Source organism: Homo sapiens, chromosome 9 (genome assembly GCF_000001405.40).
Source record: "Homo sapiens chromosome 9, GRCh38.p14 Primary Assembly".
Lineage (NCBI taxonomy): Eukaryota > Metazoa > Chordata > Mammalia > Primates > Hominidae > Homo > Homo sapiens.
Window position 1 is genome coordinate 83,461,001 of NC_000009.12, and position 26,820 is coordinate 83,487,820.

General features: G+C 41.1%; 1 protein-coding gene across 7 annotated transcripts in view, besides 2 other annotated features; it reads right to left on the reverse strand.

The window, feature by feature from the left end:
• Nucleotides 1-26,820, reverse strand: part of FRMD3 (FERM domain containing 3) — a 342,803-nt gene that overhangs the window by 218,009 nt on the left and 97,974 nt on the right. The window contains exon 1 of one of the 7 annotated variants that reach the window (XM_024447488.2): nt 12,381-17,490. The exons of 5 other annotated variants lie outside the window; for them this stretch is intronic. Coding sequence is in view for 1 of the 2 variants with exons in the window: in NM_001244960.2 (NP_001231889.1) it covers nt 6,618-6,632 (15 nt within the window). In the remaining variant the exon portion in view is untranslated. Of the gene's footprint in view, nt 1-6,617; nt 6,743-12,380; nt 17,491-26,820 lie in introns of those variants that run through there. One more of the 7 variants, NM_001244960.2, reaches the window with a different exon arrangement.
• Nucleotides 12,433-12,592: an enhancer, noted in NCBI's record as "active region_28492". NCBI's record gives its function as "activates an Ori minimal core promoter by ATAC-STARR-seq in GM12878 lymphoblastoid cells {active_cell/tissue: GM12878}" and the evidence as "EXISTENCE:reporter gene assay evidence [ECO:0000049][PMID:35858748]".
• Nucleotides 12,643-12,732: an enhancer, noted in NCBI's record as "active region_28493". NCBI's record gives its function as "activates an Ori minimal core promoter by ATAC-STARR-seq in GM12878 lymphoblastoid cells {active_cell/tissue: GM12878}" and the evidence as "EXISTENCE:reporter gene assay evidence [ECO:0000049][PMID:35858748]".

Sequence of the window (26,820 nt, forward strand, 5' to 3'; positions counted from 1 at the left end):
GCACTTACCACACAGTGTGACAAGTGCACCAATAGGGTCAGAGGAAGAGCAATGGCCCCAAAGATGGCCATATCCTTATCCCTGCAACTCATGAATGCCCAAAGGAGAAGGAAAGTTGCAGCTGGGATTAAAGTTACTAACCCAATTACCATGGATCATACACATAGGCCCAAAGTAATCACAGGGTCCTTAGACGTGGAAGAAGGGAACAGAGGAGTTCACAATCAGAGGGAAAATTTGAAGATGCTGGCTTTGAAGATGGAGGCAGGGGCCACAAGCCAAGGAATGCAAGTAACCTCTAGAAGCTGGAAAAGATAAGAGGTTCTCCCCTAGAGCTTCCAGAAGGAACACAGCCCTATTGACACTGTGATTTTTAGCCCACTGAGACCCACTAAGTTTCAAGCCACTAAGTTTATGGCAATTTGCTACAGCATCAGTGTAAAACTAACACATGGGATAAACCCAGGATGCCAGTCTTGAGGGAACACAGGGTATCAGGGAAGGCTTCCCAGGGAAGATGACATTTGGCTGAGTCCTAAAGGATGAACTGGGTTTGTGGGGTGGGAGGTCCAAGAAAAAGCAGCATATGAAAAGGCCTTGTGGTATTCAGGGAAGTTCAAGGCATTTAAAAGCAGCAAAAATCTTAATTCCTTCAGGAATTTCCCTTTTTTTTTTTTTTTTTTTTTTTTTTTTTTTTTTTTTTTTTGAGATGGAGTCTCACTCTGTCATCCATGCTGGAGCGCAGTGGCACGATCTCAGCTCATTGCAACCTCTGCTTCAGGGTTCAAGCAATTCTCCTGCCTCAGCCTCCCAAGTAACTGGGATTACAGGCACCTGCCACCACACCCAGCTAATTTTTGTATTTTTAGTAGAGATGGGTTTCGCCATGTTGGACAGTCTGGTCTCAAACTCCTGACTTCAAGTTATCCAACCACCTCAGACTCCCAAAGTGCTGGAATTACAGGAGTAAGCCACCAATGCCTGGCAGCAATTTCTCAAAGATTCTCTTAGGAATACTATTAGCCAACTCACTTCATTTTACAGAGCCTGAATAAAAGACCTGGAGAAGTTGAAAAACCTGCAAAAGTTACACAGTCCTGGGTTTGTCTGTCTTCATTTGTGAAATAAGGAAGTTAGATTAGGTGAACCATAAGCCTATCCATGACTACTTAGCAGATAAACTCAGGTGTGCAAGAAATACAACAGTTCTCATTTTTGCCATATAAATCTGGCTCTGGTCCCCCATACCACCGGGCTGGAAGGAAATTTGATCTCAGTTATTACTGATGCATATACATGCCCTGTACCTTGGCCAAGGTTATGCCAAGGTCCTACGGTCTCTGAAGCATCTAAGCATCAAGGAGGCCCCTGGGGGTCTTATCCTCTAGTCCTCAATGATTACAGCTAAGATGCCCATTTTCCCAGCTGGCATCTCAGGTCCAGTGGTTCTGATACCTTTAGGGTCCCATGCTCTGTGGCAAGGCTGGGAGTCCATATTCCTAGATCCATCCTCAGTGGAATTACTATGGTGCCATCTCCTCCATGGTACCACCACATCCCTAGTACATTGTTTCCATGGTAACCGCTTTCCAGGTTCCTGGAATCTCCCTCCTCTTACTCCCCTCTGCATCTCAAAGGCTCTTATTTCCATCCATCAGGAACACTTGGAGATATCTCTTTCTAAGAGTTTCACCTTTCACAGAAGAAAGGAAGAGCTGCCATCTTCCAGCAATTTCGGCTGCCTCCCTAATCAGATCAGAGAGGAAAATAGGGAATAGAAGAAGACCACATGTTTATTCATTAATATCTCAATGAACTGTCCTGGCACACCTATGTTTCAGAAACAGGGATGATAATTTTTTGTTTTCCCTCAATAGGGAACAACACTACTTCAGCATTTATGGCCATAAAATTGACTTCATTAAAAAATATTATCCCCAAAATAATAATAATCTCTCAGTATTATATAATCCAAACACATGGTCATGTCTCCTTGGTGGTTGGCAAGCCACAGAAATACCCTAATCTTGCTAGATTGCAAAAGAAGGATGCAAAAATTGCACCATGATGTTCTGGGGATTCTCTGATAGCAAAGAGAAGGAAAGGAAATTAGAATACCAGAATGGGGGGACTCAGAGCCAATCAGCAAGCATTTTGTTCTGAGGATTTTTCTATCTTGCTCAAGATGTTGTTAACATTACATACTGAAATATTCAGGATTCCTTGTTGGTAAAACAATAGTTTCTCCCTGTCTCTCAAAATAATAATGATAATAATGATTGTATTAGTCTATTCTCATGCTACTAATAAAGACATATGTGAGACTGGGTAATTTATAAAGGAAAGAGGTTTAATTGACTCACAGTTCCACAGGACTGGGAAGGCCTCAGGAAACTTATAATCATGGCAGAAGGGGAAGCAAACACATCCTTCTTCACATAGTGGCAGAAAAAAGAATGAGTAAAAGGGTGGAAAGCCCCTCACAAAGCCATCAGATCTCACGAGAACTCACTCACTATCATGAGAACAGTAGCATAGGGGTAAACGCCCCCATGATTCAATTACCTCCCACCAGGTCCCTCCCACAACACATGGGGATTATGGGAACTACAATTCAAGATGAGATTTGGGTGGGACACAGCCAAACCATATCAGTAATAATAATAACCATTTTGCTCTTGCCAAGAAGATCTATTCCAGCCTAGAAAGAAAGTGCTCTGCCCACCCCACATTCAGAATCAGTGCAACATTATTGACAAAGCAGCTCATCTCTGGTAGAATGCTTACCTGCTGCCCACCCCATAAAGAAATTGGGCCCTTGCCCATTGATGGCCAGTGTGTCATCTGAATTTTTACCTTCTGCCAGGCAGGGCAAGGAGAGAACATGTCATCTGACATGTAGACACCTCTTCCTGGTCACTACATCTCATAAGAATTGATTCAGCCTCTTCCTCCTGTTCCTCCCAGCCCTGCTGCCATCCCTCTTGTTTCAGGATTCCTGAGCTTTTCCCTGACACTTGGCATATCTGTCCAAGTACCCAACTCTAACTGTACACACCCCCTGCATGAATGATCATTATTCACTGGCAACAAAGGCCATCAGACTTCCTGCCATCACCTTGCCAGGAGCAGCCACCACTCTTTGAACTTCATATTGGAGCATTCCCATTGTTAATGCTGACGGTAAGCCTCATGAATTATTTAACAGCTTCTTTATCTGGGCTGGCAAAGAACGGTGTGTTCTGATCAGAGGCTGTAGTGTCCTGATCAAACAGGACTCATTCACCCACTGCCTTCCAAATTCTCTATGAGTACCAGCAGTCGCCTCCAGATATAAGCCCAAATCCATGGTCACAGCTGCTGGTTCAGGAACCAGCAATCTATCCCAAGGGGGCCAGCTAGGTTCTGGCTCATGCACTGTCCCATTAGATGGTGGACGATGGTAAGGGTCACCATCACCCCTCTTTGCTCTAACAGCAAATCCTCTCACTCTCCCAAAAGGTCCCGAATCACAGTGCTTAGCACTTCCTGAGGAGGGAAGATGCAAAAAGTTGAAGCAAGCTCCCCAAACACACCTCAATCTGATCGAAACCCATGATCAGTGTCAGAGAGGCAATTTAATGACCTACAACTCTTTCTGGTGGACACCTCGTTCCTGGGTTGTGGGTTTTCATTCACTGTGAGAGGGTCTCTCCCACTTGGACATTTAAACTGGTCAAAGATAATTGAGGTTCCTGGCCAGGCACAGTGGCTTGCACATGTAATCCCAGCACTTTGGGACGCCAAGGTGGGCGGACCACTTGAGGTCAGGAATTCAAGACCAGCCTGGCGAACATAGCGAAACCCGATCTCTACTAAAAAATAAAAAAATTAGCCAGGCTTGGTGGTGTGCACCTGTAATCCCAGCGACTCGGGAGGCTGAGGCAGGAGAATTGTTTGAACCCAGGAGATTGAGGTTGCAGTGAGCCAATATTGCACCACTGCACTCCAGCCTGGGTAACAGAGAGAAACTCTGTCTCAAAAAGAAAAAAAAAAAAAAGAAGAAGAAGCAGCAGCTTAATGAGATGTCTTTGAGATGGAACTAGCAGCTCCTAGGGAATCTTTTAAGCTGAACTGGCCCTTCATTCTGTATTTTACACACATCATCCATTCGATCTCACCAACAATATGTGAGGTTCACAGGGCAACACAGAGATGAACCATATTTTACAGATGAGGAAACTGTCATGACCCCAGGAGTGCGCAGCAAGTCCACGACAGCCGTGTCCTGACTCCGGTCCCAGTGCTCTTCCCAGAACTCTAGTCCCAGGCAGGTGCAGTGGCTCATGCCTGTAAGCTCAGAATTTTGGGAGGCCGAGGCAGGAGGATCACTTGAGCCCAGGAGTTTGAGACCAGCTTGGGGCAACACAGAGAGACCCTGTATCTTGTTAATAAATAAATAAATAACAAAACTCCAGTCCCCCTTCTTTCCTTCCTCTGTCTTCCTTCTCCAGCACAGATTCCACACAAATCCTTCTCCAAAGTACAGAAAAACACCAGGCCTTTTGATTTTCCTTTGTTTTTCATTTTTCCAGATTTCTGTACAATTTACATTCTCTATATGCCTGAATTTCTTGGAGAGGGCAAATCTGCACATAACTCACAGAAATAAAGGTGATATAAAAATCATATAAGAACCTAACAGTGGGACCGGTATACATGCTATACCCTGCCAGCCAGCTACGTCCGCTGCACTGAAATTAAATCTCTCAGCTTTAAAGTCAGTAGATAATAGGGAAGAAAGTACTAGAAACTATTGTTTATTTTCCATTGAATCAATTGGAGCTGTATCCAACTCATTAAAAAAAATTTAATTTGAGAAAGTCTTAATCATGAGCTTTAAACTGATCAACAACAAAACTCACAATTAGGCTCTTTAGATAAATCAGGAAGTGCCTGCAAGGACCCATCTACTTAGACTGTTCTGGGACTTTCAACAAGAAGTAGTTACCACTTGGAATTTCCTCATCTCCGTTCACATCCACCAACAGCTGGGCTTCCTGCAGCACCTGGGTTCATCAATACCCCATAACAACATGAGCACCATGAGCATCCAGTCCAAGGGGAGAACAAAAAGGAACAAAATAAGAGAAGACAAGCATTGCTATCAGGACTCTGGAATTCAGTCTGGCCCCTAGTAGCCTTCCCTGTAACTACCAAGGGATCCCCGAGGGAAGCAGAACTCCTGTCTAGGAAATTACCATGATCAGTAGAGGTGGGTTAGGTTTTTCTGCATTTTACTTCTTCAAGAATTTGCATTTTGGTTTAGGGCAAATACATCAAAAAGACATGATGCTCTTCTTCTGGCAACAAAGACTGCCTACCAGGGTGGGAAAACTGTTTTGTTTCAAATTTCTGCTGTAAACAGAAAGGCTAGAAAGCCGAGTTCCACGATCTCGCTAAGCCCAAAGTCCCAGGTTTCAGTTGCACCTTTTTTGCTACACATTTCTAAGAAAGGAATCTCAGTATGTTCATCAGGAAAAATAGCAAATTTAAACGCCATGTGCTGAGCGTTTGCCTAACAGACGCTGCATTCCACCAAGTCACTCTCTCAGAGCCAACCTTTCTAGGTACCCTAGAAAAGACTGTGAAGGAAATGTGTACCAGCTGGTGCAGGCAAATAATGAGAGCTGGAAACAGTGCCTGGAGGTGTATCATTTCAAAACAGACCTCTGCCATGTTGAACTTTAACTGTGATTCCCTGTGAGCAGTTTAGAATTCGGCAATTCCAACATCTTTCTACCTTCTTGCACCTGTGTATAGGTCATGTGTGGGAGGTTAACTACAAAAGGTCCAGTTGCTCGGTAAGTAAGGCAAAGATGGTGAATGTTTGGGAGAATGTTTAAAATAGTACAATCTGGAACACCCAAAAAGATGCTGGTTCTGCCGAAATAAACAAGAGGAGCTAGAAATATCACATTGCACATCGACAGGCAAGGCTCCACCTACCTTTTCCCTCACTGCAAATAAGTAACAGACACCCAGACCTAGGTCTGACAGAGGAACTGTCAGCCTTGCATCTTAATATTGAGCAGGCTCTTAAAACAATCAAAAGAATTTCAAATTTGTTAATCCTTTGGAAAACCACCAAACTATTTGCTATGCAGATAACAGAAAACATTCATGGTAAAAAGATTTCTCTTACAAATTATGGAGAAAATGGCAGGTGTTATCCAAACCAAAATACATTGTCTGGCCAATTTTAAATAATTACATCTTGATCTTGACCTCAGCAGGAAGCCCAGGAGTTGAGGGCTGTTGTCTGTGCTTTGGTCAGGAAAGGAACCACCTTCAGAACCATTATTACCAAAGGGATTTGGAGAAATGTTCCTCTAAGGGGAAAGATAATAAAACAGAGAGCTCTGGTTTGGTTTCTTGAAAGGCCATTAAGTGGAACTAAAAGGCTCCTCTAAGATACTGGTCAGAAGCTCTACAAAAGAGACCCTCCCGAATTTCACATCCCCTTCTAATTTGTTTCAGTGAAAATAATTCAAAACATTGCATAGTAACTCATGACATGCATTATGTTAAATAAAAGCGTACCTGAGTTGATTACATTTTAGCTGACTGACACATACCTTTGAAAGCTGCATAAGCAGGTCTCCTTGTGCCTTGCCAAGACAAAAAGGATTTGCAGTGCCGTGATCTGCTAGTGCCTTAAAATACTGCCATCTCGTCTTCTGTCTCTGGGAGCTCTAGGGCTCCAATCTAAGCTCGCTGCAGTTTGAATACTGCATTGTTTACCTATAGAAATCTTGCTGCCACCAAGATCCTATTTCCTAATTTCTGTCACAGTAAATAGGTTGATGGTTTTTTAAAAAAGTTACAAACATGAGATGCTTTTAATTGTTCAAGAACCTGCTGGATATTAAGATGCAAGCTTTTCTGTTTCTCTATCAGACAACATCAGACAGGGATGGATCATACTTAGGCCTCACTCCCAGCTATCCTTAGGAAAATTCTAAAAAAAAAAAATCAGTGGGAATAAAGACATCAGCCAAAAAATGAGTTCATTGTTCATAACATATCTTGTTAGACAACAGGCTACAGTGGCACTGCATAGAGCTAAGCCCAATTGATTAAATATGGATATATAAGTTGATTGAATCAATTCTATAAGAAATTAAATTACAGGTTTTATATTCATTTGAAATCATTTCTGTAAGAAATTGAAAGATAGATTCAAGGTCAGAAACCATTCCTTTCTTACAAACTTTATCTGTATAAGAAAATAGATGTGACTTAAGTCATTCTATTTATATGTCTTTTCTAGGTATATCACCCACAAAAACCAAAACAACCACCTGAAGCTGCATTCTCAAATTATGTTAAATGAATCCCTGCTATATGGAGAGAAGTAACCAAGCCAGGAATTTCAGGTGGGCAGATTTCAGAAGCAAATGATTCTGGAAGCACATGAGAGCAGTACCACAAAGAGCAGTACAGTGAGGTCAATTGAGTCGGACAGAACTTCAGGTTCCTAAACGGTTCATTTCTTCTCTTTATTAACAATAAGGAATTAATTAGGCTTATGGCCCAGACAAGTCAAGTACTGCTAGATTTAGTTCTCAGCTCTGTCACTGGCTATGTAAATCCCTACTGTCCCAGATTCCTCAGAATATTTGAGGCTTGGTAAGTTGCTCCCATCCTTCCCAATAGCAGGATTAGTAAATGTGTCCGTGGAAACTTTATGGCAATTAACAGAAAGGAAGAATACAGCAATTTATCACCATAGACCTTTGCTCAGCTATTGGAGAAGGGGAGGACTAGACAGCCCTGGCAACATGGGATCTGGGAGGAGGGTGGAGAAGAGCAGGGAAGCTCCTCTTTGGGGCCAAGCCCATGAGAGCAGCCAGCTAGCCATATAATGGCCGTGGCTTTGACTTCCAGCTCCACCTTGAAACCCAGACAGTATCATGACCAAATGAATGTATCCAAACACTCCAGTCAGATAAAAGGGATCAGTACTGGAATGCTCAGAGCTGGGAGGCAGCTACCATGAAAGCTAATCCAGGCATGCTGCCCCAATATGTTCTACAAATGCCCAACTACACAGTAAAGCATTCAAATGAGGTTAAACTAAAATGAGGCAAGATACAGACGAGAGCAGGGATGAAGACTTACACTGGCTGGAGACAGTCCATCGCCAAGCAAATAAAGCCACCCAAATCAAAGACAGAGGCAAACAAAAATTAAATCTTATCCCCAGAGTGGTAAGTAGCAGTTCGCTGCTGAGGGTCTGCTATTCAGGTCACTCTAACAGAGCTCAACTATGCCAAAAGCAATCCAGTAGGGATCCACTCAAAACCTGACAAAGCCACTTCTAAGAAAGTCAGATGCTTCGTAGACAATCATTAGATGGTATACCTACAGGTCAAGGAACTTCATGATTTCACACCTGCCAGGGAGAATTCGAATTGTCAAAATGTCAAAGTCAAATGAGAGAGTACAGGGGCAACAGGGAAGTGCCTGGTGAGAAAAAGGAGTCATCTCTTATTCATGAGGCTATCACTCACTTGTGGAGGAGAAACTTAAGACCAAATAATTGCACCTTTTCAAAGTCATTGATAAGGATGTATGAACCACCTCATGGAAAACATGGAATTAAATAAGAGCAACAACGTCCTTTTTTATTTGAGACAAAGAGAAAAAAAAAACACATTAAACTGGAGGAGAGGGAAATGCCTGAATTCAAAGCTCAGATGGGAATTAGAAACCGGCTATTGTCAGGTAAAGGCTCCGTGGTCATACATAATTAAAACTCATGCAGCCAGTGTCTTCTCACCAATGAGAGATCTCAGAAAACTAAGATGGGGGGCGGGGAGAAAGCCCGCAGGAGCAGCTGCTGGTCCACTAGTTCTCAAACTCTTACGCACGTTTGAATTCCCTAGAGCTGTATAAAAGTAGAGATTCCCAGGCTGAAGAGCTCTGGGGATAGGACCCAGGCATTTGTACTTTTTAAAGTACAGTTGATCCGGTGTGTTGAAACCATTAAATCTGGCTGAGAGGAGCTATGAACTCATAACCATTCCCAGTTTTCCAGAAGAAACTGATGTAGCAAATTTAAAAGAATTTTTTTTAAATAAGGAGAGGTTCTACCACTCAGGGAACACCTAAGCACCACAGCCCCAGATTCCAGCTGCTCTGAAGTTCCATCTATAGTTCCCTCTCCACTGGAGCACATTTAGAAAAGCCCAGAGAAGGTTCTGGACCTCACCCCACTGCACTTACTGAACTGAACCCAAACTTCCCATTAGAGAGGGGGCGATGGCTTACACGCTGAACTTAGTGTTGATCTGGGCTGCAGTCCTCACCCTGCCATTTTCTATATAAGCTTAGACAAGTTCCCTAACTTATCTGAGCCTCAGTTACCTCAGATCTCTCTCAGAGGGTTGTTTTGAGATTTGAGAGAGAACACATGTAAATCAGCTTGCAGAGTGGCACACAGGGCAGGGGGCCTAGTAAACGTTTATTTGTTAATTTGTTTAAGGGACTATGCTGCTGCCAGAGACTGGATTTGAATTGTCAGCCTCAAAAATCCCCTTGCCTTGTGATAGCTCTCCAATCCTCTGCACACCAATGTGTGCCTAACCCTGAGGCTGACCTTTGATGTCCCAGAAGGGTCCCGATCAGAAGGTCTGGATTCATGAATAGAATACACAAGCTAATCTGGTAGGATGTGGTACAATGATTTTTGATGTCAAAGATGTTTCATGGTGCCTTGCACATTGCAGATGAATAATAAATGAATATTTGCAGGCTGGATTATTCAAAGAAGACTTGGAGTTAACCTGTGAATTTCACTTTAGGGTGATTCTCCTTTTTCTTCACATGCAATAAAAGTGACTGAAGAATGTGATCTTACACAAGCTGGAGCATTTTCCCCCATCTGTTTTAGTTTCTAAATCTTTAAAACTAATTAATGGTTACTAACAAAACATAGAAGCAAACAGCAGTAGAGAACAATTTAATGGTCCTGCCTCAGTACTAGAGGAAAACTGCTCACAGCTAACTCTGTCTCATAAAACTCCAGTTTTAGGGGGGAGAAGGTGACATCCCTCTGCCTCTAGACAGGTGAGAGGAAATTGAGAATAAAAGATGGACCAACACGTACTCCCTCAAGATGATACACTCAGAACAGATTTGACAGCACAGAGAACGGCTCTGGCCTTCTGCTCTGCTGGTCAAACTGGCACAAATACTGAAAAGATGAAGCAGGAAAAAGAAATTGAAACATTCTGGGCAACTTGTAAATTCCTAGGTCTATCAGGGAGTCTAACAACCCATTAGGCAACTGGAAAAACAGGCAACTATCTTCACGGCTCTGCTCCATTTTCTCATATCAATATCTAGCGTTACACAATAATGCTCAGCAGATGACTGAGTTCCTCTTTCACCATTTTGAGCTATCATTCACAAGGGAAGGGCATGAGGACACAGTTGCAGGTCAGTGAGGGTGGGTGGGACACCGGCTTGGGAAACTGAATGCAGGGAGGCAAGGCTGGATGAGCAGGTCCAGGAAAGCCCGTACTGCTCCACACAAAGGAAGAGAGAGCATCAGGAAGAACAGGGACTCATCCTCTCCCTGGAAAAGGGCTAAAAACCAATCATTGCAAATTCACCTTGTTCAAAGCTTCTTTTCTGACCACAATGGGCTAGATGGTCTCTGAGAAGACCTGGGAGGTTTATTTTACCAACAGAAACATTTGTATTTGTTTAAGTGGTGAAGTATGAAACCTCTGTGATGAAATGGCTGCTGTTTTACTGACTGAACCCAAAATTCTCACCAGGGAGCTAGCAATGGCGTCCCACACTGGACTTGGAGTTGATCTGGACTCCAGCTCTGGGCCTGTCATTTCCTAACTATGTAACTTTGGGCAAGTGTCCTAACTCATGTGAGCCTTGTATCCTTAAATCCACCTAAGAGGCTTGTTGAGGTTTGAATGTGAGAATACAAGCAAATCACCTTGTATAGTGACAACACAGAGCAAGGGCCTCGTGAACATTCATTTGCTCATTCATTGAAGGGACTAGGGTGCTACCAGAGATGCCACTGGGAAAAACTCCATTCCCAGCCCTATTTTCCCCAGAACTCACCGCTCAGATTTTAGTAAGCATAGTGCAAAAATAGTGGTCCATGGTCAAATAAGTATAGGAAAAGCTGGAGTCAACAACGTCAAACTAGTTTGCTCACTTGCCCAAGAGCCATAAATAAGCTGATGTGTGCTATGAGCTGCAGAGAAGATCAGGGTGAGGGAAATAAAACCTGCAGCATTTCTCAAGCATAATTCTTCAAGGAACATCTGTTATGACACACACGTGAAACATGCCCCCAAAGAGTTCAGGAAACGCTCATCAGGAACAAAGGTTAGTAATACATGGGAGTGAGTGGCTCACCCAGTCACCCCATGGGATCTGACATTTCCTGACTGGTGTTTACCTAGGTGACAGAGGAGACATTCTGGAGCCAGAAACAATGATAATGCTACCAGGAAAGTAGAACACCACCCAAAGGAACGCCACACCAGCCCAGCCCAGCTCCTCCTCACTAGGGGCCAGCACAATATCCATTCGGTGACTTTTATTTCATGAGAACATATCTCTACCTTTATAAAGCATACTGTCAACAGAAAAGTCAGATTTTCTTACTGAAAGAATCACTTTTTGTGTGAATGGATCAATTTTTCAAAGTGTGAAAACCTGTGCCATGAGAGTTGACTCTGCCACCGATGAGAAGAAAGGATTTGGGGTTATTTCTAAATTTCTCATATAAAATATCTTTTTCGATAGTTTTATGCTGGACTACCTCAAATGCACATAATTTATACTTGCATAAAATGCCAGTAGGCTTTCCTCATAGGCAGTCAAGTCACGAGTGTTCTTTCAAAACTATTCTCTAATCTGCCTCTTCATTTCCCTTCTACAGCCACCAACCCTGCCACACTCACCAGGATTGTGGCGAAACCTCCCAGGCTCCATGCTTACAATATTTCCCCTTCCAACGCTTTCTGCATCCTGCCAGTTTAACCTCCAAAATCAATCATTATTATATTCCTCAAAGACTTAGATGTTCCCCCTTTGTATATGGAATACCCAAACTCAACCTGGCTACTGGCATTTGAGCTTTCTCTCCCACAGGACTCCAGCCCCTAGACTCTTACACCGACATCTCAAGCCCCTGGCCCACCTTGCCTCTTCCCAACCCCCTGCCTCTGTGCACACCAGTCTCCCTGCCAAGTTTGTCCACCCACTCTTGCCAACTCTAAATCCACAAGAACTCCCAATACTTAGGTCCACAGAATCATTCCACATGACTCCGGTCCAGTCCTCCCCTCACCTACCTTCCACAGCAGGTTCTGTGCATTCCATTTAGCCCTTCGCCTTTTATTAACTTCTGTTGCTATTTAATTGTTTCTACTAATATTTCAATGTTCATGTGTCTTTGACTTTCCCCACAAGTAAACTCCAAGTTTCGTAGAAACAGAAAGTACATCATACACTTTCTATCTTAGAAACAGAAAGTACATCATACACTTTCTATCTTAGAAACAGAAAGTACATCATATTTTCTATCTTAGAAACAGAAAGTACATCATACACTTTCGCCAACAAGAATAACATGGAGAGGAGGAAGAGGGCGAATGCACGGGCTAGCTAGTGAACTTAAGTAGGAAAATTCACCCCCCATGAAGGAAAGCATTTATGCCAACGTCCACTTTCCAAAGACATGGGTCTCCTCCCTCATAAATACCACAAGGAATGTACCTTGCCCTCCTTCAAGTTCCAGGCTCATTACTGGCAGAGAAGGAAGCAGGAAAATAAATAAATTGGGGCAGATGTAACTATACCAGATAAGACAGTAAGGTGATGAAATCTTACAGTCATAAACTCCTGCTGAGGTTAACAACTTCTGGCTCTAAATTTTCTTTCCTTTCTTAGAGGTTGTGACTGAGGAGAACTTATGTTTTTGCATTCAATGCTTTTTTGAGAAAAGGGGACACAAAACAAGGAGCTGTGTACAGTATGTGCATTTATATACATACACATTATCTATGCATATATATAAATGCAGAAAAGTAACATGAAAAACACTTCAAAAAATCACTACCGCATCCTTCAAATTTGCAACCCCTCAAAAGTACAGAGTATAGCAAAAACATCAGCATGACAAAGCCACTAGAAATCATCATGGCCTTCACTTCCTTTGTGGAAGAATTACTGTTCTTTCTTACTATCTGGAAGATGAAAATAGGGATCTGAGCCTCCTGAGTTATTGTCTCTATCATTTATTTAACCCTGTTCCCTGCTAAATAAAGCAACCATTCTACATCTGATAACATCAATAATATTCAATTCACTAATTGTCAAGTTTCTTCCTCAGAATGCAAAGCAAAAAGTTATGAAAAATCAAAGGTTCTTGTGGGATGAGCAGGGAGCAGACTAGACTGCAAGGCAAACAATGATCTCTCACCTGCACGTTTAAATGACACCTGTTTCTGGGGCACTGTGATGAATCAAAAGCAAGTCTCCTTACTTAAATTTTAAAGCCTAAAAAACAGAGAATACATGTCTCATTCCAGCAATAATAGATAAGCATATTTTAAAAACTGGATAAAATTTAAACATTAACATCTCTTTGAGGGCATCTAGGTGTTACCAAGACAACCATAACCTGAAAGTCCAAACTCCCAGAGTAAGGACACACAGAAGCCACCCAACACTCTCTCCCCACCACCACCACTGAGGTATTTACTGATGTGTAAATTTCACAAGCAGAAAGGGAAGCAAAGGAGAAAACAGCTGCTAGAGGGATGATAAACTAAGCACAGCTGTCCCCACTGATGAAGAGACAATAATTGGAGTTCAGGGCCTACCAAAGTGGACAGACCTGGGTATCTAATCTGGGCTTTCATTTGGGACTCCTAAAAGGCTACACCTGGGTAGGGAGATTGAGTTGAGATTATAAAAATTTTAACTGCCTACCAGAAGCTCAAAAAGAACACTCCTCGGTTGAAGAATACACCATCAAGAGCCTCCATCATTTTTTATTTACAGTGCCCAACATTCAATTAAAAATTACCGGGCATACCAAGAGATAGAACCAATAGGAAAAAAAAGCAGACAACAGAAACAGATTCACAGGTGATCTAGATATTGGGATTATCAGGCATAGACTTTAAAATAATTAACATGTTTAAGAAAATGGGTGACAATTTCACCAAAGAACTAGAATATATATAATACATATATATTCATATATATGAGTCAGATGGAAATTCTAGAACTGAAAAATACAATGTAATAGAAGAAATTAAGAATGCTATAGATGGGTTACAGCAAAAAGACCCAGCTGAAGAGAGAATTGGTGATCTAGAAGATAATAGTTCAATAGAAAATGCCCAGGGTAAAACACGAAAAGGAAAAAGACAGAAAAATACAAAGAAAACCAAAACAGAGTATTTGAATCTATGAAAGGGAACTCATATGTATTGAGTACATGAAGCAGGCTAGACACAGTTGTTTTAAAGTAACTAAGCTTCATTTCATCAGATACAGTTTATTAATACATTTTCCAAATTTGAGGAAAAAAATTCATAGCTAATATTTGAAAGAGCTTTTATTTTTCAAAACATATTTATAATAATAAGAGTTTAGAGATCACTTTACCATGTACAAGGTATGAAGCCTAGCAAAAGAACATGATGTTTTCTGAAACTGAAAAAAACTACGTTTACATGCTGCTATCACGCACTCTCTGGACACTCTACAAGCCTCACTTAATAAAGTTCTAGAAAGCTATTGGGAGGAATAAATGAGCGAAGATACATAAAATATCTAGCAAGAATACATGGAAAAAATGAGTGTTAGGTCCCTTTCCTCCTCCCCCCAGGCCTCACTTACGTAAATAACATTTGCTGAGTGTCTACAGTGGGCTATTTATTCAACTTAGTCACCTATGAATCAAGCAAATGCAATATACATCTATTTCAGGTCCCATATCAAAAATAAGTGCTGTATCCTTGGGCCGACAATAGTAAAGTATATAGTTAAAAGAATATGTTGGCCAGGCACCATGGCTCACACCTGTAATCCCAGCACTTTGGGAGGCCAAGGCAGGCGGGTCACCTGAGGTCAGGATTTTGAGACCAGCCTGGCCAACATGGCAAAACCCCGTCCCTACTAAAAATACAAAAATTAGCCGAGCATGGTGGTGCACACCTGTAATCCCAGCTAATCAGGAGGCTGAGGCAGGAGAATCGCTTGAACCTGGGAAGCAGAGGTTGCAGTGAGCCAAGATCACTCCATTACACTCCAGCCTAGGAGACAGAGCAAGACTCTCTCTCAAAAAAAAAAAAAAAAGGATATGTTGAATTTTGCCTCACTGGCTTAAAGAATGGTGGTGACACTGTCAGAAATATTGAAGAAGTGCTGGTTTAGTGAAGAAGGTGAAGAGTTTGTCCCAGAATAGTTTGGGTTTTAGATGCTAGCATGTCCACTAGTTGGAGATGTGCCTCAATAATTAGAAACCCAAAGCTAGAGCCCAGAGGAGAGGCAGAAGTTGAGATCGGGTAGATAAAGCCAAGGAATGGCTGAGGCCACCATGGGAAAATGTACCGCAGGAAAGAAGGGTCAATAAACTAAATATAGCCAGTGCAACTGGAAGAAGTCAATGGGTTCCCACAGCCAGAGTGAGCATCAGAACATAACATGGGTCTCCTGGGGCTTTCTTTATCCCTTGAGTCGTAATCATGTCCTACTAACGAGATCAAGGCTCCTTATCACAGGATTTCATAGCAGCCTACACTTTTCCTTTGTGGCCCTTACTCTAATTGTATTTAGGTAATTTTTTGGTGAAATAATAGGTTCATTGCCTTTTCTCCTAGATTTTATGATCCTTGAGGGCAGGTGGTGTCTCTTTTGTGTCCATAACCACATCCCCAGTACCTAACTAGCACAGTATCTTGCAGGTAGTAAGCACCTTTCAATAATCTGATGAATAAAACAATAAGTAAAATCAACTCAATGGTTATGAGTCTAGAATGCTGCTACTCACAGTATGGTGCAGCAGCAACAGCATCACCTGAGTGCTTGTGAGAAATGCCAATTATCAGGCTGGACCTACTACATTACAACCCATAGATGTTTCGTCTGCACATAAAAGTTTGAAAAGCACCGGCCCAGTGTAGGAACTTTTGACAACTAGGCCAAGAAAGCCTTCCCCTGAATGAGTGGAGAGAGATGCAAGAAATGATTCGACTGAGTAGCCTGGTTTCAACCACATTCAGAATTATTTGAGAACCAATCAGGATGGCATAATGACTGTCTGACTGTCTGCCCCTAAATCAGAGGTTCTCACTTTGGCTGCATTTCAGAGTCACCTGGAGAGCTTTAGAAAATACTAATGCCTGGTTCCCACCTCCCCTCCACAGAGATTCTGATTTAATGAGTCTGCAGCCTGTCTGGGCCACTGGGATTTGCAAAGCTCCCCAGGTAATTATAATGTACGCCCAAGGTTGAGAACCACCTCCCCAGATAACCAGCTCCTGCAATCACCAAGGCCGTCCCAAATCAAGGTTCTATTACTACTGAAGAAAAGGTTTTTTGTCTCATCCCCTAGGATTATTTGATTGATCCTGGAGAGGAAGAGTATTCTGTCTTGCTCCAGTGCTTCCAGACCTCCTCCATGACTCACTTAGCTGCTTGACTAATTGACTAATTGACTGAATCTCCAGTCTCCGTTGCCTGGGCTTCCCATCTCTGTTTTCAGGCTACCCACACTTTCCTCACTCAGCTTAGACATTCCAAGCCTTAGACCTTGCTTGGACCTTTCCTTAGAAGAATTCACATATTACTTGTCCTTTCCCGGTATGGCTTGAGCTCTTGGTTTGAAAAAAGGCAGCAGACTCTCACCTCCTTACAGGAGTTCATCCTAAAATACAAAACATTTGCCCTTCTCTGTTGTTTAGACAAACTTCCATTGAACTAGAGCCCTACTCATTTTCCCAGGACTGGCTTCCCTTCTGTCTCTTGTCTCTCACCCCAAAAACTACATCATGAAGAACAAAAGCTCCTGTGTCAAAAGACTTGCATTTCAATTTAGAACAGTCAGTTTCTCACACATCTTAACAAAAGTTAAAACCATGCAGTTCATTCTCTTTATAGCAATGGCTTGGAGACAGCCACCTAACCACAGTGTTCCTCCCATAAGAAGGGCTCTAAACCTAACTCAGTTGTTTTCCTATGGGCTTCAGGGGTTTGTGATGCCTTCCCCTTAGTTGTTATGCAAAATGTAATGAACATATGCATACTCTTCTATCCAGAAACCCATAATTTTCAAGAGTCTTGAGACACATAAAATGATGCTCGACATCACTAATCAATTGGAAAAATGCAAATCAAAACCATAATGAGATACCACTTCACCCCATTAGGATAGCTATTATGAAAACAACAACAGCCAAAAACTACAAGTGTTGGAAAGGGTGTGGAGAAATTGTGTATTGCTGATGGGAATGTAAAATGGTGCAGCCACTGTGGAAAACAGTATGGCACTTCCTCAAAAAATTAAACACAGAATTACCATAGGATCCAGCAATCCCACTTCAGGGTATATGCCCAAAAGAATTAAGCAGTGGAACTAGAAAAGATATGTGTACAGGAGTGTTCACAGCCACATTATTCAGAAAAGCCAGTAAGTGGAAACAACACAAATATCCACTGGCAAATAAATTTCAAAATGTGGTATACACATACAATGCAATATAATTCAGCTTTAAACAGGATTGCCTTCAAGCAGAGTAAGGCATCTCCCTCAGTTTCCCAGAGTTCCTTGGACAGAGCTTCTGCATATTATGTTGTAATTATTTATTTGTCTGTACTAGAAAGTGAACCCTGGAATACAGAGACTGTACCTATGCACTACGGGTCCCTAGAACATGGCTTAATCAATGGTCATTAAATGAATAATTGAATAAAAGAATGAATAAACTAAGATTATTTAAAAATTATATAAAAAACTATACATCAATAAGAAAAATACAAACAACACAGTACCAAACTAGGAACTAGGCACACACAGGCATGTCACAGGAGAGGAAACAAATACGGCCAATGCAAAAAGAAAAGCTAGCCAGTTGCAGTGGCTCACACCTGTAATCTGAGCACTTTAGGAGAATGAGGTGAGAGGATCTCTTGAAACCAGGAGTTTAAGACCAGCCTGGGCAACAAAGTGAGACTGTGTCTCTAAAAGAAGAAGAAGAAGAAGGAGAAGGAGAAGGAGGAGAAGAAGGGGAAGAAGAGGAAGAAGGAGGAGGAGGAGGAGGAAGAAGAAGAGGAGGAGGAGGAGAAAAAGGAAGAAAGGAGGGAGGGAGGGAAGGATGAAAGGAGGGAAAGAAGGAAGGAAGGGAGGGAGGGAGGGAGGAAGGAAGGAAGGAAAAGTTAGCCATCCATGGTGGTACATGCCTGTAGTCCCAGATAACTTGGGAGGCTGAGGCAGGAGGATCTTTCAGCCTGGGGGTTCGAGGCTGCAAATAGCTATGATTGTGCCACTGTACTCCAGCCTGAGGGATAGCAAGACCCTGAAGAAAGGAAGGAAGGAAGGAAGGAAGGAAGGAAGGAAGGAAGGAAGGAAGGAAAGAAAGAAAGAAAGAAAGAAAGAAAGAAAGAAAGAAAGAAAGAAAGAAAAGAAAGGGAAAGAAAGAAAAAGAAAAGAGAAGAAGAAGGGAGGGAGGGAGGGAGGGAGGGAGGGAAGGAAGGAAGGAAGGAAGGAAGGAAGGAAGGAAGGAAGGAAGGGAAAATGAAAAGCTAATCGCAATCAGTAGTGAATAGGAAAATGTAAGTCAAGGCCACAGTGAGATATCACTTTAAATGATTCAATAGGCAAAAATATCAAAAGTCTCACAATACTAAGTGTTGGAGAGATGTCGATCCACAGGATCTTTTACATGCTTCTGGTAAGCATATAAATTAGTGCAACCTTTGAGGAAATGGTTTGATATTATCTCCTAAAGTAGAATATTTTCACTCTAGCAATGCCATTCCATTCTTAGATATATGCCATAAGAAATTATTGTTGAAATACAATAGGAGACATGTACAAAAATGTTCATAGCATCACTTTCATACAGTAAAATCCTAGAAACAATCATGATGCCCATAAATAGGGCAGCAAATGAATAAACTGTAGTCTATTCATATAACAGAGTATTATTCAGCAGTCAAAACAAATGAACTAAAACAACCTGCAGCATTGTGACTGAATTGTAACAATATATTGTACAGTCAGCCCTCCATATCCCTGGTTTCCATATCCATGAATTCAACCAACCTCTAATCAAAGATATTCTGGAAAGCAAAAAATAACAATATAACAATAAAAATATATAAATAAAAAATACAGTGTAACAGCTATTTATATAGCATTTCCATTGTATTAGGTTTTATAAGTAAACTAGAGATTTTTTTTTTTTTTTTGAGATGGAGTTTGGCTCTTGTTGCCCAGGCTGGAGTGCAATGGCGTGATCTCAGCTCACCACAACCTCCATCTCCCGGGTTCAAGTGATTCTCCTGCCTCAGACTCCCAGGTAGCTGGGATTACAGGCACCTGCCACCACACCCAGCTAATTCTGTCTTTTTAGTAGAGACAGGGTTTCTCCATGTTGGTCAGGCTGGTCTCAAGCTCCCAACCTCAGGTGATCCACCTGCCTCGGCCTCACAAAGTGCTGGGATTACAGGCATGAGCCACGAGATGATTTAAAGTATACAGGAGAATGTGCATAGGTTATATGCAGATACAACCTATTTTATATAAGGGACTTGAGCATCCTCGGATTTTGTATCTTCAGAGGTCCTGAAACGAATCTGCCACAGATGCTGAAGGACAACTGTAATATTAAGTGAAAAAAAGTTAAGTTCCAAAAGATTACATAGAGCAGGATATAGCCATTTTGTAAACTGAAAAACAACTAAATATTTTAAATGCTTTACATGAAAACACATAGATGCAAGAAAATTAAATAGAAAGAAAAGCAAAGGAATGATGAACTCTGAATTATCTGAATCCAGGTTGATGGTACCCTGGTAGAAGGAAGCAAGAAGATGGGATTGTGAAGGGCACATATAGTTAGATGTCACTTTACTGTTAAGGTCCCAGCTTTTATATTAGACAGCAGGTTTCTAGATGTTTATTACATTATTATAAACAAATAAGTAAAAGGGAGGCCTTGCATATTCCAATGATGCAAGTGTGTCGTGAACTAAGGATTATGATTAATCCAGTTTTGTAGCTAGAGGGATTTTAGGGAAAAATAAATAAAGAAGGAACATGACTTCTCCAGGTAGATTGTTTCAAAAGTACAGATATCTCTATAAAAGAAATTCTGCTTCCAACTTTTTAGAATGATGATTACAAAGATTTTTAGAAGGCTATCATCCACATAAAGGCAAACCAAATACTACAATAGCACCATGAAAGAACGATTAACATATGATCATATAAACTACATTTTAAAAAATATGGAAGAGGGTACTACTCACATTCGAAAGAGTCCAATTTTAAATTTTCTAAATGGTACCATAGTTTATTTAAACCCAAATTGCATGTGTAAAACTTTAATTTGCCCAAAATCTCCAGGGTATTCAATTTAAGAATAATTCTATGGGACATTCAAATGTAACATGGAAAAGAGGGGTCACCAAACTAATAAGGAAGGGAAACTCTGAAGGCTGAATAAAATTATTTTAGTTTCTTCTTTCCAGCAGGGCTTCTCTGAGCTCCTCATATGCTAATGTGCACTGTGATCACCAAGAGGGGGACTGTAGTGTTTCCCAAAGGTACTTGACCACATAACTCTTTTTTTACTGAGCATCTAGAAAACCAACATCCTACCTACAAAGTACACATAGAAAGTGCTGTTTCATAACAAAAAAAAAAAAAAACAGCAACAACAACAAAGTAAGTTTACAAGACCAATAAAGGGAAGCCTAACAAATTAGACATAAAACAAAAGAAAACAAAAGACAGCAAATTACTTTGCCAGGAAATCTTCTTTTATGGCTCTTTGCTGTCTCCACGATTACTTGGTCCTCAGCCATCACCAACAAGGCTTGTGCACAAGGAAGGCGTTCGTTTACAGCGAACTCCTACTGGGTACATTTTTGGAAGTAGCACCCCATCTGTTTGAAAACTTTGAAGAATATTTATTTGCTCAATTCCCTACCAGATGATTTCGACAAAAAACTGTGTATAATTCACAAAATAATAACGGGAAAAGAGTTTTTCTTTCTTGAAGACATTGATTGGTACTCTAGTCTGTCTGTCAGGTGGTCAACAGCATCCATTAAACATTTATTTAGAATGCCTGAGAGGGCTGTTAGGATATTCCAAGAAAAATCAGACTCTGCACTTTTAGCCATTATATTTCTGTATCACTAACAGCAAATATATCTGTCAGTCATTACTAGTAAATTCTGCTAGGTTTAGGGGATGGAGACAGGTGTACAATGTGGGATTACAAGCTAGTCAGTAAGATAAGAAATGCAAATTTTTAAAATTATTACAAGACGATGATTGGTATACACAATAAAGATGGTAGGACATTATAGAATAGGAAAATTCCTGAAGCCAGAAGCTGCTGAGGATAGACTCTTGAAAGAAGTAAGACATCCTAGGCTATGTGCCAAGGGAGAGATGATGGCAATTCAACCAGAAGAGAAGAAATAAAGGTGCTCCAGTTAGCTAGAAGGGCATGACAAACATACAGGCAGGAAGGAACACAGATGGCACCAGACAACCAATCTGAGCCAAAGAATCCGGGCATGAACACTGAGCCTACACTCTCCCCCAGGAGCCATATAAGAAGTGGAAGTTTAGAAGGTGGCAGGAAGGTATGATTCCAGACCAGGAGCTGTTGCAGGGGCATCCTGGCATGGCAGCCACCTCCTTGATGGCAGATGTGGCAGCACTTTGGGTAATCTGGTTCTGGGGTGTGGGTTTGGAGTCTGATATGGTTTGGCTCTATGTCCCCACACAAATGTGATTTGAATTGTAATCCCCACGTGTTGGAGGAGGGGTCTGGTGAAAGGTGATTGAATCATGGGGGCAGACTTTCCCCTTGCTGTTCTCGTGACAGTGAATGAGTTCTCACAAGATCTGGTTGTTTTTAAATTGTGTAGCGCTTCCCCCTTTGCTCTTTTCCTCCTACTCTGCCATGTGAAGGTATTTGCTTCCCCTTTGCCCTTCTGCCATGACTGTAAGTTTCCTAAGGCCTTCCCAACCAGGCTTCCTGTAGAGCCTGCAGAATTGTGAGTCAATTCAACCTCTTCTCTTCATAAATTACTCAGTCTCAGGTAGTTCTTTATAGCAGTGTGAGAATGAACTAAAACAGAGTCATTCCTAGAGCTCAGCTCAGGATCTACATTTTCCACCCCGCCAGTGAGATGGCCAGCTATCTACACCACTGATTAAATCCTTGTGTGCTTAAATGAGCTATTGTGGATTATAACGTCTGAAACTAAAACCTTATCTGATACAAATGTAACTTGTGGCACCATGGACAGTGAGAGGATATGGCACTTTGAGAGACCAAGATGGGAGTTATCGCTTGAGACCAGGAGTTTGAGACCAGCCTGCGCAACATACTGGGACCCCATCACTACAAAAAATTAGAAAAATTAGCTGGGCATGGTGGTATGCACCTGTAGTCCTAGCTACCCAAGAGGCTGAGGTGGGAGGATCACTTGAGCCCAAGAAGTTGAGACTGCAGTGTGCTGTGATCATATCACTGCACTCCAGCCTGGGTGACAGAGCAAGATCTTATCTCAAAAATAAAATAAAAATGTGTTGGCTATAAGGAATCCAAGGGCATGTTCTGAGCCTGTACTCTTCCTCAAGGGCCATGAGAAAAGTGTTTCAAGAAAAGCTTCTGATTCTAAGGATATATACATAATAGGCCTTCTGAGTCACTAAAGAGAATTTGCTCAATTCTTCTCACTGAGAGAGGAAATTTATGATAAAAATTTCAGAGCTTAAGGATAGGTGTTTATTCCTTAAAAGAATACATTTAAAGGCCAACTTAATAATCAGTGCAAACCTTTCCTCTGACATCCTTTATCAATCTCTTTAAAGAGTTTATTCAGATCAAGTGTTCATTATGTGTTTCCACACTAGCCATAAGGGGATCTTATGGAAGTCTGGGGCACACATTTGAGCATGTTTCTAAATAATATTCCTTGCCAATATATAGAATACAACATATGTACTAGAATTTTTTCTAAGTTATCAAATTCCCCCATTAATTAAGGGGAAATGTGGCAAGAGCCGGGGAAGACAGATTGTGAGTCCTACATAGACATGGGTACTTTACAAATATACTGTCAATTTTTTTCTTTTTGTGTGTGTGGCAGGGTCTCACTCTGTCACCCAGGCTGGAGTGCAGTGGCATGATCTCGGCTCTCTGTAACTTCCACCCCTCAGGTTCAAGCCATTCTCGTGCCTCAGCCTCTCAAGTAGCTGGGATTACAGGCCCACGCCATCACACCTGGCTAAATTTTTTATTTTTAGTAGAGACAGGGTGTCACCATGTTGGACAGACTGGTCTCGAGCTCCCGGCCTCAAGTGATCCGCCCACCTTGGCCTCTCAAAGTGCTGGGATTACATGTGTGAGCCACTGTGCCCAGCCTGTGTTGCCAATTTTAAGGAGGAATGAAATACCAATGAATAGACATGTAAGAGTATCAAATCTAGCAAAAGAGAAATGATGCCAGCTTAGGCAATATTATCCGCATCCTAGTAAAATCAAAGAAGTTGTAAAAGGAAACAATATAGAGAAACACTCCATCTTATAGACATATCAGTCTAGAGAGACACACAGTGTGATAGTCAAAAAGGAAAACATAATAGAAAGTCCACTTCTGTGGATATTAAATAAAAACATGTCAATGCCTTAGCTTCCATGTGTACTGGAGGTCTATCGTAATTCTGTCCCAAAGGCCTCGGCCAGAGAAACAAATATTGATGATAGCTCTATCTGGGCCTTTCACTAATAAATTCTCTTAGAGACAACACCAGACAGATGAACCCAAATCAAAATTCCACACCAGAGGGGCTGGGAAAGCCCATACAGACAACAAACCTGAGTTACGCTCATTTCATTGGCTCCCTGGTATGTAGAATTCCGTGTACTTATAGTTAATAATTCTGATGTTGAAATGCCCTTCAGTAATTTGATGTGGAAAATCAGCTGGTTTGCCTTCAACACGAGCATCCATCTCATTAGACCTCAGAGTAATTCGTAAATAATTCAGCAAGCACATGACTGATTTTCCAGTCCCTTTTTGATCTTAAGGAGATGAGAGATCTATAAACAGTGCATCGTTCTTTCCTGCTGCATAGCACTTAATTAAATTAAGTGATTTCATTAAAACTGAGAAAAATGATTTGCAAGTATTTAAGTTCTTCTGGTCATTAAATTCTGAACAAGAGACACATCATGTCTCACATCTAAAGCTGGCTTTCCTGTCAAGCCCCTTGGGTTTCTGGTACAACCTGCACTGATTCCCCACTTCAGGGACAGAGAGAAATTACCGTCTGGAATCACTAAGTGTTTGTTTCCAGGATTCCCATGACCCAGACATGACTCAGGTCAACCAGAGAAGGGCAAAGAAGGAACAGGTTAGTATGAAGCAGTAGAAAGAATGTTAGGCAAAACATCTGAAGACCCAACTTTCAACTCCATTCAGTCACTAATGTACTGTGTCATTCACATACATATATGCACACACATGAAGATTGCTTATCTGTAAAAATTAGGTGAACCTAACAAAGAGAATTCGAAATTCTCTTCCAGGTCAATGATTCTTAAAAACCTTCAAAAAAATTTAAGGAAAAAAAAGAGCTATTTTACAGGATTCTAATATATTAATGTATATGTTGTATATCATACATCATATACATTATGTATCTATATACATATACTATGTATATATAATACATCTACTATGATGTATCATTAATATGTAATATAATATATTAATGAACAATCCTGCAGCAGAGAATTAATACCTCCTTGCTCAAGAACATATTTATTTATGTTGATCAACATTGAATAATATCCTATGAATATATTCACTGAATTCCACTCAGAGGCACAATTTTGAAATTTGAGATCATTGGAGCTATAAAAACCTACTTTGCCTACTCATGATGCTGAGACGTCACCAAGGATGACTGTCACCAAGCATCTCTTCCAAGCTGTCCACATTACAATCACCTAGGACTTGACCACCAGGGCCTCCATAGCCCCTTGGAAGATACATTTGGTAGCCAGCAGGCAGCAAAGCAAGATGTACTTTCCCAGAGATGGCACTCTAGGTGGCCTGTCATTCAAATAGCCAAGCTCTTCCCCAGCCCATCACATCAGTTTATGTATTTAGTTTATATCTTTAAAATGACAGGAGGTCACCATAAACAAAAATGAACTTAAGATAGATCAAAGATTTCAATGTAAGACCACAAACTATAAAAATCCTAGAAGAAAACTTAGGAAATACATTTCTCAACATAAGCCTGGACCAAGATTTATGGCTAAGTCCTCACAAGCAATTGCAACAAAAACAAAAATTGACAAGGGGGACCTAATTAAATTAAACAGCTTTTTCATTACAAAAGAAACTATGGGCCTGGTTCCACTGGCCCATAACTTTATTTCTAAGCCATGAAAATGTGTAACATAATGGGGCTTATTCTGTTCCTTTCCATAAGGGAACATTAGTTAATGTTTCAATTCAAATGTGCACACACACACACATATACCCCACTAAGTCCTTTGATAGCAATGACTGAATATTCAACTCTACACCTCAGTTTAATAACATGAAAAATTAAACTCCTGCATTAACAGTGACATCTGGAATCAACATGAAGCCATAAACTGATTATGAATATTCTCCCATGAACTGCTGTAAGCATGTTTTGTCTAAGCATTTAGTTAGCAAGGATTCTTGTAATACTGCTTGTATGGCAAATAGCATTATTTCCCATGTAACCCCTGCCATTCATCTCACTTGACATGCTATTTGTTTTCAGCAGAGCAAGGAAGAGAATATTAATGGTGTCACCCAAGTTATCATTATCAAGAAGTAAAATTTATGCCAGTAGTCACAAACCTGTGTGGGAAAAATACCACTAGCAATAGATTATAAAAGGCCACTGAAAAGCCACCTTCCAAAGTGAATCAGGCAGGCTTTGTTAAAAGCATTTCTCATATTTCTCCTGTTCCTGAAAACCAAGAGTTTACCACCTCTCTTCCCTCCCCCAAAAAACAGCCTATCTCACAGAATAAGAAAGAGCTTAAGACTTTCTTATTACATTTCTCTCTACTTGTGGGAAATTTTATTTTAATATGAACCACTTTTTCCTCATCTTAGATATCTGCTAAAAAGTCTTCTGAAGCCATAGGTGGGATGAAATAACAGATCTCCAAGATACTGCTAGAGTTAGTGAACTTCAAATGCTACAATAGTAACAGATTTAATATAACAAATGTTAACTAAGTACTGAAAAAGTGCCAGCCCTAGCCAGTTCCTGGGGATGCAGACATGCTAGGAGAGCCCTTATAAGCCTGGAGAGGAAGAAAGAGATTTAACCAAATATTACCCTGTGGAACATGCAACAGTGAAAATGTGAACTAGCACAGAGGAGAGAACAATGAAGAGGCTTAGGAAAATTTGAGAAGATGTCCCAGGGTTAACTACATATCAGAAGGCTTTAGAAGATGAATAGGC